Source organism: Homo sapiens, chromosome 9, assembly GCF_000001405.40.
Source record: "Homo sapiens chromosome 9, GRCh38.p14 Primary Assembly".
Lineage (NCBI taxonomy): Eukaryota > Metazoa > Chordata > Mammalia > Primates > Hominidae > Homo > Homo sapiens.
The window spans coordinates 109,773,944-109,790,619 of record NC_000009.12 but is presented as its reverse complement, the minus strand read 5'-3'; the positions used below and the strand labels follow the sequence as shown (position 1 = coordinate 109,790,619).

General features: G+C 43.5%; 1 protein-coding gene across 14 annotated transcripts in view; it reads right to left on the bottom strand.

The window, feature by feature from the left end:
• The window catches only part of PALM2AKAP2 (PALM2 and AKAP2 fusion), a 531,726-nt gene that overhangs the window by 381,893 nt on the left and 133,157 nt on the right, over positions 1 to 16,676 (bottom strand). For 13 of the 14 annotated variants that reach the window (XM_047423410.1, XM_047423411.1, XM_047423414.1 and 10 more), the window contains exon 1: positions 10,087 to 10,422. In XM_047423410.1, the coding sequence (XP_047279366.1) occupies positions 10,087 to 10,131 (45 nt within the window). In that variant the 5' untranslated portion in view covers positions 10,132 to 10,422. Of the gene's footprint in view, positions 1 to 10,086; positions 10,423 to 16,676 lie in introns of those variants that run through there. The other variant, NM_001037293.3, reaches the window with a different exon arrangement.

Genomic DNA, 16,676 nt, shown 5'->3' with positions numbered 1-16,676 from the left:
TCTCTTTCTCATGTGACATGCAGGACACACACACTATCACAGTTGCCCAAATCCTAGAGCCCCATTTGGTATTTATTGGCCTCAAAGTTGTCGACATTAGCACTCAAACACAGACAAAGAAAATCCCCTGCCTGCCACCAAAGGGGTTAAGTTTTCAAGCATGTTTTTCTCTTAAGAATAACATTTTTTGGTAACCCTCAAGGTTTTAAGTTTCAGCCCTGAATTTAAAAATAAAGTGAATACTTAGATGACTGGTTATAATTTAGCAGAGGGGGGAAAAATCCCACCCACCTAGAATAGTAAGTAAACCAGTATAATTTTTTTTTTCCAGGAAAAAAGTAAGAGTAGGTTTTACAAATGCCTTCAAGATATTTGGTATTGCAAAGCTGTCTAGAGCCTAAAAGCCTGCAGGGTAATGAAATAGGCTTCCACAAGGGAAATGATGGACAGGAAGATGTGTTCCGACGTCTGGCCCACAGCTTTTTCATCTACAGCTGGGGCTTTTATCTTGGGCCTCACATGGCTTTTCTTTCCCCTTCGATCTTATGCAAAAGAAAGGTACAGATTCTCTATTCTTTTCTTCTAGCTAAACTTATATGATCCTATAGAAACAGTGATACTAGGGTCAAAGAGTAATCCAAAGTATTTTTAATATATGTTCAAGCATTATGTAAATAGGGTGTAGTCTTGTCTCTGTGTCTGTCAGTCTGTCTCCCTTTCTGTGTGTATTTAATAATCTCCTTTTGAGCATTTTAATTCAACAAGAGACTAATGAGAAATACTGAGATAATAATTAACCAAGGGCACTGTAGCTCCAACACGCACTGCCCCACACCACCCTCTGCTCCTGCCGGCATTTCCTGTCAGAAATAGATCTCAGCTGTGTGGTCTTCTCCCAAACCCAGAGCACTTATGAGCAACCTTTCCTCTACAAACTCCGCCATGCTGTGTGGCCCATCCCCTACAGTCTCCACGTTCTCTTAGGCCTCATCCTGTACAGTGCAGCCTCTGTGCTTTGTGTTTTAAGATATACAAGAGATCCGGTGAGGCAGAATCCTTCCAAAAATGAAGGGTTAGCTCAAAAAATGCATGGTACAAAGACAAGTGAGGGAAGCCTGCATGACATCCTTGGAAGAATAAACTTGTCCTTGATATGCCAATAACAAGTCATACTTGCATATACACAGACTGGCTTCATAAAATATTAACCATCATTAAGTAAATGAACATCAGTTGCTGCTTCTCCTGGCATCCTATTGGAGTTGCCCACGTGAGAAGCAATCACATCGCGAATTAGCACCTGCAGGCTGGAGAAGGGGCCACCAGGCTTGATGGGCTGATCTGCTATTTGATGTCTTCATCTATACACCATCATATGTATGGCAAGCCTCTCTCAATGGGGCTGTCATGGTGTTGCTGGATATCTTCTCTACTGCATGACTTCTTATCTCACTGAGGTGTCCTCTAAGGCCTCCCCAAGGGAATTTTGTAGCCCATAGTTTCAGTCAGTCAATCCCAGGCAAACTCTCTCAACCTGCCCAGCCAATCCTGGGCAAACCTTCCAAACCGGTGTTGTCAAGTAACCAACAGATATCTCACTTTATTTAAATAGATTAAAGCAAGTTCCCGAGATAAGCAAAGACCTCTTCTTGATTAGCCAGTGTAATGTGAGAAGGACACAGTTACACAGGGTGTCACTCTTGCCCAGTCTGGAGTGCAGTGGCAGTGATCATAGCTCACTGCAGCCTTGAACTCCTGGGCTTAAGCGATCTTCCCACCTCAGCCTCCCAAGTAGCTGGGACTATGGGAGTGCGCCACCGCACCCGGCTTGCATGACTTCCAAACTGGGCTATGTTTAAGGCTCTCATTAATCAAGACTAAATTTGGCCTTTTATTCTATTTCACCTCTTCAGAATATACACACCACACAAACTCCTGGGCATATCACAATGGGCATGTGATGCACATCAGGACCCAGGTCATAATCTTCCTTTACTATTGATCTCCTACACTTCACCAGTCGTTTTCAAAGTGTGTTCCCCAGAATAGCAGTTGCAGCTGGGAACTTCTTAGAAATACAAATTCTCAGGCCACATCACCCTAGACCTACAGAATTAGACACTCTGGGAGTGTGCTCTTGCAATCTGTGTTTTAAGGAACCCTCCAGGTGATCCTAATGCACTAACGTTTGAGAATTACTGTTCTATACCATATATGACAAAAACATCGGTCAAATGGCAGTTGCTGCTACTATGAGTCCTGAGCCCAGCAGAATCTCCCTACAATGTCCATTACTTGAGGCTAATAATAAATCAGGATCAACTCAAACATCCTGACTGACATGAGTTAGGCTTGGGCTTCATATCAGGTTTGCATTTCAGATTTGCATACCTTGAGTATAGGTTCTTAAAGATTCTTTTCTAATAAGAGGAATTTCCCAAATTAAGGTGCTGACTTGATGTGGTTTAGATTTGTTTTGGTTGAGTTAGAGAGCAATTACCTATCTAGATGTGAGTATTCTGAGTTTCAATAATGTCAGTGATTTGCAAGGGCTCATTTAATGTCAAAAGATATCGCAAATAAGCACCATTTATCCAATGATCCAAACATCTGGACACCAAACTCACAAAGCTCTGGTGAAAATGCAACCCGATATTACAACATTATGAAATATCTCAGGGGTGCTGATAGGCTTACTTCACAGTATCCTTATGAAATCCAAATAAATCAATGCATAAGGAAAGCATCCTGTAAAGTTCAAAGCTCTGTCTATATCTAAAGGTCACAAAATGTCGGCCTCTTGATCAAAAGGAATTGTGTTGTGACTGCCAATCTTTTTAAAGTTTTTAAACTAGTTAATACTGTTCTTTTTTAAGTGGGAGATCTCACATGTTAAAAATCAGATTTCTGGCTTCTCTTGAAAATGAGTTGATGTAACAACATAAGACCCACGTTCTCACAAGGCATAAATTAACTGCATCTTAACTGAGAGGTGGCATCTGCTCTCTAGGGACCAATACTTTCGACTCAATCTGTGTCCCTCATTTACATTGCATGCTGGCCCCCTGACCTGTTGAGTTTACTACTCCTGCTTACTACAAATAATCCATTTTTTATTATTAATACTATCTTCATGCATTGAAAACTCAGGAGTTACAACATTTATCTGATTTCCTAGTATTTATCTAATTTCCTAGTTTGACAAAAATGCTGTGGCTAACAAAATTCTCCTTTCACTCTTTGTGTTCACTTTCTGTTTAAAGATGCATAAGTTATGATTTGTTGGTTTGCTTATTATAAATAGGAAAGTTTGTGAGTGCTTAATGCATGCTGTCTCTGAGCATTTCCCAAGAAACCTCTAAAAGAACCATCACAACAAGACACTGAAGTGGGTATGATCATTAGCCCCATCTTACAGGTGAGGAAACCAAGGTACAGTGACATCATACAGATACCAACGGAAAGGCCAGGACTTGCGCCAGGTCTTCCTGACACCAAAATCCATGCTGGTAACTACCCCACCACAATGACAGCCCTTGGGACCACCGTCTCTGTGCATCAATGTCCATCTGCTGTCTCAGTCAATTTCATGCCACAGAATGACCAACTCTTACTGCCAAGCAAGTTCATCAACATTCCCAAATGGGATCAGTGGTGAAATGTGGAGAGTTCAAAGGGGCCAGCAGTGACCCCAAAGCATTGAGTAGCCCCCAAAGAAATATAGAAACAATTCTACTGGGCCCTGGTTTTCCTTTAAATATTGACAAACTATAACCCACAACCCCCCTCACTTAGCTTTTTCTATGATGACTTTTTTTTTCCATGATAACTGCTCTATTTCTCAGAGCATTTTAAAGTTTGTCAGAGTAGCTGCTCTTTGTCCCAATAAGCTGAAGACTGAAATACTCAGAGGTACAAATAAGTAGCAGGGAGGTGTGTGACCCTTATGCATGCTGGGTAAGGCCTGCCTTGGCACTCCCAGACACAGCAATGACCCTGCATGGGCCCAAAGTGTCACCTATCCAGTGGGCAGCTTCACAGACTCAGCCAAGTTGAACCCTTCCTCAGCACCAATATACCACGCAAATGATTTTTTAGGCCTTAACATGGAATTTTAGAAGCAGGGTGTCATCTGCATCTCTGAGATATAAGATAACAGATGAATGACCAGGATCTTAAATTCTCCAGTTCTCTGACAGCTGCATACCAATAACACAAGTCCACAAGGAACATGGATGGGGATGGTCCCCACATGAATCACAGTGCCTGTTTCTACAGGGCTTGGGTTTGAGTCTCTAACCCCTCTGAGGGATCCTTGGGAAGCTGGACTGGATAGTATGTAAATCATTGCAAGGACTTTTTGCCCATGCTGTGCAGGTCGGCCTAAAAGGCCTGGACCAAAAGCAGGGTGGTGGCCTCCTTGGCCACTGGCCCCACACTCCAAGCCTGGTACTCAAGGCTGTAATGCTCCCAGGCAAGAAAAGGCATGGAGAGGCGAATCCAACGAAAAGCCAATGAGCACTTCTCTGTAAGCCCACGGCACAGCCAGCCTAGGCCAACAGCGTATACCCAGGTCTATGCAGGACTGAGAATAGAATCAGATGAAAGCCATAAACTCACTAGCTGACCCCTTGGTGAGAATTTCAAGAATGAAAGAGGCCGAAAGTGAAATCCTAACAAGGGCATATTCCATAGAGACACATCCAAGCTCACTCCTCTCCTCCCAGCCAGAAGATTTTAGTCCAGCAGGATCTTAGTTGCAGTTTCAGCCCGTATCAAAGCACCCTTCCAAGGCTGGATGTACCACTAACACAAGTGATACGGTTTTGCTGTGTCCCCACCCAAATCTCATCTTGAATTCCCACGTGTTGTGGGAGGGACATGGTAGGAGGTAATTGAATCACGGGGACATGTCTTTCCCATGCTGTTCTTGTGATAGTGAATCAGTCTCACGAGATCTGATGGTTTTATAAAGGGGAGTTTCCCTGCACAAGCTCTCATTTCCAGTCTGTTGCCATGTGAGATGTGCCTTTCACCTTCTGCCATGATTGTGAGGCCTCCCCAGCCACGTGGAACTATAAGTCCATTAAACCTCTTTTTCCTTATAAATTACCCAGTCTCGGGTATGTCTTTATCAGCACGGTGAAAACGGACTAATACAAGAATTGGGAGTCAGGAGAGGCTGGGATTTACTACAACTCTTCCACCTCTATCTGTGTAAGCTTGGATAGCTCTGAATACTCACCTGTAAAGCGTATAAGATTTGCTCTACACACCTCAGGAAGAAGGTAGCATATACAAGGTTTTCATAAATTATAAAGTACTGCACAAATGCAAAGATCATTTTTATTACTTCACAGAGTGGGTTCTAATTAAATGACAAAATTCCCTAAAGAACAGCATAGGTTAGATTAGCATTTCCTATTTCCGCACATATATAAACATACTCATGCTGGTCCCTGGTGTAGCCTGAGCCTTGTCCACGTGGCTCTTAGGAGTTTCACCCAAGACAATTTATATAACATTTACTTATTTTCACTCATGCCCAAAGAAAACTATCTTCCTCTCCAATGTGCAGACATAACAGCACCCTCCCACAAGGTTAGTTTCCACTGAGACACAACAGCTTCTTCCCCATGGGAATGTTACTCGTTCCATTAAATTTTATGTTGGGTATTTCTATGCACTGAATCCAGGCTTGAAAGACTCTCAAAAGGAGGTAGGCCTCCTGGCTTGTCTCAAGCTTTCCCATTGCAATGGAATCAGTCTGTGGCTCACACTCAGGCTGCTGAGACCACCTGCACAGTGTGCTCATGGGAAAAGTGCGAGACGCTGCCGCCATCTTGGGTGGCAGCTCAGGGCAGCAGTCAAAGCAAAGGCTCCAATGGCCTGCTGCGGGCAGCATTCAAATCCTGGCTTTGATACTATCAGTTTAATGTTAGACCAGTTCTAGAACCTCCTCACCTATAAAATATGAGTAATACTGTAGTGCCTACCTCATAAGCTTCTTATTAGGATTCAATGAGATAATACATGCTGAAAAGCATTTCAGTGTTCACTCTGAGTTTGTGTCTTTAGCTACTGACTTAACTTCTTCATGCTTTTGCCTTTCCCTTTCTCACACTAAATGTCCTGAATAAATAATAATCAAATAACGAATAAACAAATGCCTCCTGGTAATTGGGAAGGTTATGATGTTATTTTATATTTTATTTTACCCAATTTTCAGGACTTACTCTAATGTCTTCTTTTTGGGGAATTGTTTCACAACTCTGAGATTGGTTTACATGTTCCTCCTGGATGCTCATTTTCATAGTACTCCTGGATAGTAACTGCTTATGTGCTTTTCTATTTCTTCCATTAGACTATAAATAACGTTAGGTGAAAAACAAAAAGTATTTCACACCGTGCCTTTCTGAATGAACAATATTCAATAAATGGCAATTGTTGTTATTAGTCCCTGGGATTACCATTCTCACTCATGCTGTTTCAGAGGCTTTTTACCATGTTCTAAATGTAAAGTTTGGGGAGTATCCCTACAGAAGAAAGGAGCATGTGAGTGTAGAGATCATTGTCAAAGATGGACTTGCTCTTCTTTTGGCAGAAATTAGGATAAGAGTCATCTTTTCTCATTGATTAGTTCCTGGATCCAAATGGAAGATTCCATTAAAGCACTGTAGTTTCTAAGTATTTAATTCAGTTTTGTTGGTGGGGGCGGATATTCCACAGATGTTCATGTGACAAGCATCTTAGGTATCAGGACATCTGTCCTTCAAGAAATTATGTGCAAAAGGTGAAATAAAGGTTTCAGCCTCAGGCAGCTGAAACCTGGGGACACCAACTTTTCAGTGTTGCCAATACCTTCCCAGAGGAGGCAATCTGTAAATACCTACTGAACAAATGGATGAATGAATCCTCAAGTCATATCTCTGCCTCTGTCTAAAGCAGTTAGAGAAAGTGATGCTGGGCAGGGCCCTGACTTTCAGTCAGTTGAAGGAAGGGATTAAAAAAGAGCTGTTCAGACCAAGTATAGTGGCTCATGTCTCTAAACTCAGTGCTTTGGGAGGCAGAGGTGGGAGGATCACATGAGGTCAGGAGTTCCAGACCAGCCTGGGCAACATGGCGAAACCCCATCTCTACAAAAAATTTAAAAATTAGCTGGGCATGGTGGCACATGCCTGTAATCCCAGCTACTGGGGAGGCTGAGGTGGGAGGATGGTTTCAGGATGCAGCGAGCTGTCATGGCAGCACTCCAGCCTGGGTGACAGAGTGAGACTCTGTCTAAAAAAAAAAAAAAGTCATTAATACACATTCCACTTCAGAGATGTTGCTTCTGACCCCCCACAGGACAAGACAGCAATACAGACAAAAGCTAAGGGCTCTGCTCAACACCATCCAATGACAGCTACCTGCCAGGTGCTTCACCTCCATCCTAACTAAACCTTACAACCAGCCCAGGAGGTAGAACTCATGAACCCATTCTACAGATGAAGGAGCTGAGACCCAGACTAAAGACTGCCCAAGGCCCTGCAGACTGGAATCCCAGTCGATTCTCTGCCTCTGAGAGAGAAGCCCAAGTAAGTGAAGATGTGAGGACCTATTGTCTTCTTCCCTCACATCTCCAGAGAGACTTCAGGAGTGCTAGGTTCTGGGGGCAGGCTTGTGATCTCCTCAGGGTCCCCTGAGAACTCCAGGAAAGTGATGAGAGAGTCAGGGTTTGCAGAATTCAGAAGAGTAGGCACTAGACCAAAGCATAGCATAAAACCATTTACCGATGTGGCCATAAGTCCCCCCACCCAACTCCCTCTGTCTCTTAATTGGCTCTCTCTCTCACACACACATACACACACACACACACACACACACACACACACAAACAAACACACGCTGTTAGCAAATCTGTCCTGACAACATCATACAGTCATCCCTCAGTATCCTCAGAGAATTGGTTTCAGGACCCCCTTGGATACCAAAATCAAAGGATGCTCAAGTCCCTATAAAATAGCATGGTATTTGCATATAACCTACTCACATCCTCCCACATACATTAATCATTTTCAGATTATTTATAATACCTAATACACTGTAAATGCGACGTAAACAGTTGATTATACTGTATTATTTAGGGAATGGTGACAAGAAAAAGTCTGTACATGTTCAGTACAGACTCAGCTATCTATTATTTTTTCCAATAGTTTCAATCCAAGATTGACTGAAGGCGTGGATATGGAACCCATGAATAGGGAGGGCAGACTGTATTAGGTGCACATTCATGAGAATAATCAACAGCTCCCCAGATACACAGGACAAACTCAATTCTTCAATAACTGAAGAGGCACAAGTGAGTATTTGTGTGTATTCTTATATGCTCAAGAGAATTCCCAAAGATTTGCCTAGATCTTTCTTGGAAAATCGACTTGGCCTCTGCTGGGATTACTCAACCGCACTTGGAAAAGGGTACCCCAGTGTTAGCAGCTACTGGCTCCATGTTTGGAAAGCAAGTCCTTTCATGGAGTTCAGCTGTTCCTCAGGCATCCAGTAAAGCTGGTTGTGCAAAGGCAGAAAATGTGACAACTGTTGGAAGCCTTCAGCAGCAGCCAATGGGAACAGCCACTGCATCAACAGTTAAAGCAGCCTATTATCCAGTTCACACAAAACACCCACCAGCTACATGGCACCATTAACTCAATATCACCATTCTTATCAAGTTCATGACACACTGGCCATGCTGCCTTGCCACCAACTTTAGAAACCACAAATAACTTCACAAACCATCAAAATACACATGCACAGGGGGAAAGAGAAAGAAGAAAAAAACAACCTTTCTGAGTTCAGAGCACCACGTTCAAAGATTACCTAATAGGCAAACCATGGCATTTCAATATTGCCAGCAAACATCTCTCTCACTTCAGTGGTGAAGTCTCCAAGACATTTCAGATTTGAGGCGTTTGAGAAAGAGGGTCTCAGAGCCTTGGAGACCATGTCAAATGCTTCTAAAAAAGGAAGGGTCTGTGTGCATTTTCCCAATGAAGAATCTGTCCAAAAAGGTTTTGGAAAACGCTTTAATATACTTTGGTTCCAAAACATTACACACTATTTCTCCAACAAATTTATATGTGTTTCCAGAGAACTTCCGAACTGAAAAACACAAATGTATTTAGGTGGAAGAATGTCTGGAGATTCTTTTATGCCAATATGTTAACGGACCTTCTTTTTTAATTGTTACTATTTCATACGGCAGCAGTAATCATTCCCTCATCCTCGAAGGAAATATATAATCCAGCTGTGGTGGCTCCAGTAAAAATACCACATCTGTGGATCATTGGCAACACTGTGTTAAGATTGCTCAAATCTAGGCAGTCTCAGAGAGTTCTTTTTTAAACCCAAGATGCACATGGGTACACTTTTCTGAAAGTGCCTACGAACTTTGCCAAAACTGACTACTCCTTTGTAGGCTGAAAATAGGTTTTCAGATACTCCACACCATAAGAAGGAGGCTCTCATGGAATATTATAACCAGGACCCAGTTGTATGAAGTCCCCAGACCTCCAGGGTGGTGGCTTGTGCCAGTGCCCTTGTCAATATCAAACAGAGAAGGGAAAACTAACATTCCCGGTTTCTGGGAGGAGGTTCTACCGCGTGGCTGGCTGAGTCGCTGACTCCTGGTTTTCCACTTAACAGGAGGACAGCTTCCGCAGAGAGGATGGCAGCCACCGTTCAGGTCACCCTTCTCTTGGTTCTCCAGGCTATGAAGCCAACGTATGCCTGAGCATTCGGTCATAATATTCCTGGAGTCGTCCCCCCACCCCAAGCCTCTGTTTAGTCCTTCCCCAAAGCCCAGCAGCAAGCATCTTTTTTTAAGCCAATCTTCCACATTCAAATCCTCAGTCCAAAGCGCGCCCTTGGGGGTCTCCATCTATAGACATAGAAAAGAAAAGGCAGCCTAGCTGAGCCCTGACAGAGTTTTAGCCCCTGGAACATATGACCTGCGGCTACTGTGCTGGCATGCCGCTTGCCCCGAAACCCTCGGGGGCCCCCTTCCACCCCAGACAATAGAGCAAGAAAATAAAATGAAAGTGGACTTACTGCTATGGCTTGCAGCCTTTCCTTGTGCAATTCCGCCTCTGCCATCCTGGAGAAGGGCACACAGGCAGGGGAAAGAGGAAAGAAAAAACACACGCTGTAGTCACCCAAGGAAACTGATGGGCACCCCGGGGGGCTTTGCTAGAACCCGGGAGAACGCCCAGGGACGGCTGGGGATCCGCTCCAGGGGCGGCGGGCAGAGCTGTGCGCACGGCGGGCTCGCCCGGGCTCAGCCTCTGGCCCCCGCCCTCCCGGCCGCCTGGCTGCGCCCCAGCGCCGCCGCTCACTGCATCTCCCGGTCGCCGCCGCCGCCGGCCGCGCCAGCCGAGGACGTGGGACGCCGGCAGCCGCCGGGAGGGCGCGCTAGCCCGGCGCTAGTTCTCCGCCCTGACGTCTCGGTGCCTCGCTCCGCCCCTGGAGTGTGATGGACCCGAGGCCGCGGTCCAAGGCGGCTCCGAGCGATCGCCGCCGCGGGTCTCCAAGGCGCAGACGGAGGGCGCGCGAGCCAGTGGGCACCTGGGGCGCGGGCGCACGGCGAGCCGCTGGGGCGCACGGCTGGCGTGGCGCGCCCGCGTGGACACGCGCTTGCTGGGGCGGAGGCAGAGCGCAGTGGCGCCTCCACCGGGCAGATGCCAGTGGAGAGGGGCGTCTGACCGAATGTGGGACCCGAGCACGTGCTGTTACGTGGGGGCTGGGGCCACCGAGTGTTCAGGGCACCTTCTGGCTCAAGCCAGACGCTTGAGCTCCACGTGGGGACATTTACAATTTGGGAAGGGCTGCCTTGCCCAAGTGGCCCACATGCTTAAGATGACCAAGTTCTCAATATCAAGTCGGCCGAGGGTAGGGTATATCTCCAGAGAGGCCACCCTTCTGGTGAGGCGATATGTGGCCTTAAAAGAAGCCGAGAGTTTTTAGTCCTGGGTGCTAGACTAGATTTCACAATGTGTTAGCTGTGAAATCTCAGGCAACTCGCTTAATCACTCTGAACCTCAGTTTCCTCATCTGAAAAAATGGAGGATCACATAGGTGTCATTAGAGACGAATGAGAGACAGTATGTAAAGGTGCTTTGTAAAGGGCATCACAGACATCTGCTCTTATTATCCTGTGACATTCTGGATTGAAATCCTTTCAGGGTCTTCTGTTCATTGCATCTGAAAGGAAAAGTAGGATCTACTCACTAAAATATTTCACCTATTCTTTACTAAAACAGGATACCATGTGGTACTAATGTGAGTCTTTTGTGACAGGTCCTGGACTGGATGTAAGAAGTGGATCAGGCCCAGTCCAAAAGGAGATCAATGCCAAAAGCAAAAAAAAATGCCTCTTCACATTGAGGCAGGACCTGCTAGAATTCCCAACATTCATATGCAAACGTTTCTTCATCAAATGAAATAAACACTGAAATAACTAATATGGCCTCTTTAGAGCCATAGGATTTAAAGGCATGTTAAAAGATATACACATCAGGCCAGATGCGGTGGCTCACACCTGTAATCCCAGCACTTTGGGAGGCCAAGGCGGGTGGATCACCTAAGGTCAGGAGTTCGAGACCAGCCTGGCCAACATGGTGAAACCCCTTCTCTACTAAAAATACAAAAAATTAGCCGGGCGTGGTGGCAGGCACCTGTAATCCCAGCTACTTGGGAAGCCGAGGCAGGAGAATCACTGGAACCTGGGAGGCAGAGGTTGCAGTGAGCCGAGATCACATCATTGCACTCCAGCCTGGGCAACAAGAGTGAAACTCTGTCTCAAAAAAAAAAAAAAAAATGCACATCAAATTTTCCCAGATCACCTGTTTCCTGAATAAATGCTTCCATTTCAACTAAATTGCCCTTTCAATTTTCACAGAGGTTCACCTGTCACTGATGAACAATTACTCCTCTGACCAAAGATGGAAGCACTCACCAAAATCGTTTACTGATGGATTGTTTTCCCATCTTTTTCATAACAAGTGTAGGTGGAGCTGATTGTTTAATAAATCCAAGCCAGTGCCAGATTCTACATCCCACTCCAATATATCAGAAACTTCTACTTTCTGGCTAAGCCCATCCTTTTCTTCAAATGCATCCTTTTTTCTTCATTTCCAGCACAAGCCCCAGCAGGACAAGTTATTTAAAGGGGTTTGCTCACAAATAAACAAAGCTGTTATTGCTTCAGCAGAGTGATTGTAGAGAATACTAAGATGAGGAAAATGAGACCAGAGAGGTTGAAAGACTCAGCTACAGTTATAGAGCTGGGATTTAAACTCAGATCACACTCACCAGAGCCCATGCTCTTAACCATTAAGCACCAGGCTTGGCCAATGATATGGAGATAGAAGCAGGCCCCAGGAATAAACAATTGAACCAGAAATGGTCCTTCTACTCCCAGCTATACAGATATTTAAAAGGTATGATTGAGCACAACAGTGTGAATGTACTTACTGTCATCAAACCATATGCTTAAAAGTGGTTGAAATGGTAAATTTTAAGTTTTGTATTTTTAACCGCAATAAATTTTTAAAAGGAGTGATGGAATGGGGAGATGGAGAAGGAAAAGGGCCTGGGCACCCTTTGGAAGTGATCAGTTGGAAATATCTGAACTCTGAATAGAAGAATCGGGGTTGGGGACACACATCCAAGTGTCATCTACTTTGCGGTTACAGCTAAAGAAATGAGAACAGCCAGGATGAGAAAACAGAGCAAGAAGAGGAGAGAGCCCAGCAAAGAAGACTGATAAAGTATCATCCGAGAAGTAGAAGGAAAAATTCAAAGGGATTTGCACCAAAAGCCACAAAGAAGGAAAGAGGTTTTCAACAGGGTCATATGCTTCTGAAAGGTCATGGGGGATGCAGATGAAGAAGAGACCATTGGAGGGCTGTCAGTAAGCCATGAGTGACTTGTGTCCAGAAGATGAGCTTGGAAGCACTTACAAGAGGTGAGGAATGACTGCTACCAAGTGAATGTTGAAAATAAAACAAACAAAAATGGGGATGAGCGAGAGATCAGAGAAGCAACCATGAGTACAAACTGCTTCTTTCAGCTCTTCAGATGTGAAAGATGAAGGTGGAGAACAGGAACATAGCCCATGGGAAGCAGGGTCTAGTGGAAAGGGTTTTTAGGTCAGGCAAGACTTGGATGTTTGGGGGTCAAAGCAAATTAGACAACAGGGAAATTAGGCCAAAGATACAGTCAAAAAGGAAGGTGAATATTAGTCAAAGTCTCTAATTAGTCAAGAGGACATTCAGATGAGCATCACATTAGCCAGTTAGCCTTGGGAAGAAGGAATAACGAAGTAGGGAAGGAGGAAGAAATGGATAAAGACAAGAAGAAAGTTTGAGTTCAACTCTCAGGAGAGAGGTTAAGTGAATTTGCATCAGATGGACTGGTTTTCCCAATTGAACAAAGAGTCATTGATTAAGACTGATGGCGTAGGGTTGGGGCTTCAGAAAAATAGAAATCGTTTGTAAAGAAACTGTGAAAGATGAGAAAGACTAAAACATGGTTCCTAATCAGAAATCTGCATCAGAATCTCCTGAAGACCTGTACAGAATTAAATTTCTACAGGGTGATGTGGGAGTTAGGGATGGGTTTAGAACCTTTGTACTAATTGAATTTACTAGGAATAGACTAAAGACTCATGACCAATAGTGTGTACTTCCTAAGTGATTTTTAACTGCCCTGAGACCCACAATAAAAAAAGCTTGTGTTTATTCAGTGTTGCGGATTATCAAAGCAGGTAAGACAAAAAGCCAAAGAAGAGAGGAAATTCAAAATGCTTCTGGCCAGGTAGGAAGTGTAACAGACTTGTTCATATACACATTTTTTTTTCCTCTGGCTGGCCAATTTGTGAACTCCTTCCCATCTTTGGGGATTTCCCATATTAAAAGCCATAGTGAGAGGCAGAGCCACATCCTGTGGTAGAAGCTGGGAGGTATCAGACACTTGTTCCCCAGATCCCCCTGAAGCCATGGTATGGCAGGCAATCTCGGCTCAGTCAGGCATGTGTGCCTGCCAAGAATTTTGGAGACTGAGCATGTTAGAGAATTCCTTCAGGCTATTAGTTCACCTTTGGTTGTACCCATTGCCCAAGCTTCCTTCTTTGGACGTTCCATCTCTCCTGTGAGCTATCTAATACAATTTCATTTCATTCTTTTTCTGCTCCTATCAGCCAGAATCTATTTCTGTTGCTTGGGACCAAGAACCCTAGGTGAAACAGGAAGGCACATGAAATGACTGCCTGATGGTTGGCCAAGGAGCAGAGGGAAAATCTTTTTTCCTCTTCCAGCACTTCTTTCAACTTTCTAAATTTTAGTATTTTAAAATCTTTGAACCCATTACAAACACAGGCATTTAAAACCCAAACTATGCTATTTATTTAATAAACATATTGTATAATTATTTTATATTAGATGTTTGGCCATGGCCTGGTATTAAGAAAAAAAATCGTAGTCTAGTGCCACAATGATATTGGTGACTATTTGCCCTCCAAACATTTAAAATCTGGATATATACATCACAATGATGCATAATGTATGTAACAAATCACTAGTTCTTGCTGGGACATTAAATTGTGTTGCATAAACACCATCTGTACGGTTTAGTGGTTTTTATGATAGATGCTTCATTGCAAAGCATTATACGAAAAGGATACAGAATGCTAGATATGCAAAATAGATGTTTTGTTAATAAAAATTTCAGAATCTATTTTAGAACATGAGTCCTTTGAGAATCACAAACGATCATAGCCAATTCCTTTGTGGGGAAAACAAGAGCTCTGTATACCAAAAGGGAAATGACTTGCCAAGGCCCGTTGTGTGAGTAAAAGTCAGTCTTGTTGAGCAAGAGCTATGAGTGTGACATTTCCCAGCAACCTGAAGCTTCCCTTGGACAAAAGTAATTTTGAAAGGAATGCCAGGATCCCCTCAAATGTTTATATTTGTGTTAGTTCTTTTTTGCCTGGGATCTTTTGAAAATAAATGGTCATTTAAAACATATGTGATAGCTGCACAGAATCAAAAGAAGGAGAACATTGCCTGTGGTCCTCTTGGCTCCTGTGGTTGTTAGCTCTTTGGGAAAGTTGATGGGATTTCAAGTATATGCTATTTTTCTCCATGGGATCCAAATGATAGATTCATTTAGGGAGTCCCCATGGAGCAAGAAGATAGAAAGAAGTCAGAAAACAGCACCATTGTGAAAAATAAACTAGGCTGAATGTTGCTTAAGGTATATAGTGGCTAAGGTCTTTACATAGCAGATTGAAAATGAGCAATTGGAAATCTGGCTAGAAATGAATATCAATATTTCACTGTGATGACTTCCTTTTCTCTTGGTTAGCTTTGGCAATGTCAGTTGATCAACATGAGTCCCTAGAGGAAACTGGGTAGATAAGGAGAGTGTACGGGAATCAATTAGAGCCAAATGGTTAGAGATCATTCTACATTTATTTTGTTGTGGTAGTATGGACAAATCACATAATAGATTAGAATGACAGTTTCCTTACATTAAGATGGAAATGAAAATATGTGATGTCCAGTCTCATTGGGTTGTCATATCTGATAAGTTTAAATACTGTGTTATTCAGATGTTGGTCCAGAGTGGTAGTCCTGTTAATGACAAAAGTTTTGAAAAGTAGGATTAGGAAGTAGGAGGTAGATATGACACAGAAAAGACAGGAACTCTGAAGACAAGTTGGAATCTCAGCCCTCTCACAGGGATGTTGTAATAAATAAGGTTAACAGATGTAAAAGGCTTGTGATTGGCCATGGTAGGTGCTCTGGAAATGGTAATCTTGATCACTCAACCCAATCATTGCTTCATGAAAAATGCCATGGACCAACTTAAGTGAATGACTTCATTTTATCCACCCTTTTATGTAGGCTTTTTTTTTTTTAAGGGTTGAGCTATCGGTATTCTTAACATTCCTCCCATTAGTCAGTACTTCTCATTTTCCATCTTTTAAACAAGAGGATTCTGCCCTATGTCATTTATTATCTAGAAACACCTTTACTAGACTCTGCTTTTAATGATTCTTAGACATCTACAGTCTTATCTTTTAGTGTGGGTCAATCTAACAATTATAAATAAGAAGGAATTTAAAAATTTAAGAGGAGATAGATTAAATCCTAGGAAAATATGGGAAGAACAGCTTAATTTTTGAGTATTAGGAAGAGAGCTACATGCCTACATATTGAAGGTGCTCTGTGGTAGAAACAATTCTAGGTTTGGCTATGAATTAGCTACAAACTAGAAAGTCTTTGGGAAGGCCAGGTTCTACTCCAGCCTGGTTATCTGATGCCAGTAGACACAGTCAGGTCATTGGTTTCTCAGAGAGCTTAGGGGCCAGTCTGGTTTACCTTAGCACAATGACCACGATGTGCTCCGTCAGCTTGGAATCCCTTTTGGTAGCGTGGCCATCAACACTTTCATTGTTAACCATGTTTCAATAATGCCGTGTACATTCTGCAAGTCAGCACTGCTGACAAGAGAGAAATTTCCTGCGGGGTTGGCAGTGGAGGGATGGTGGCCTGCCTACTAAATCCTGTCCACCCTGCTGGCTGGGGAATGAATAATGAAATTGGGAAAGCCTAGCTTCAGCTCCTACCACCTATGGA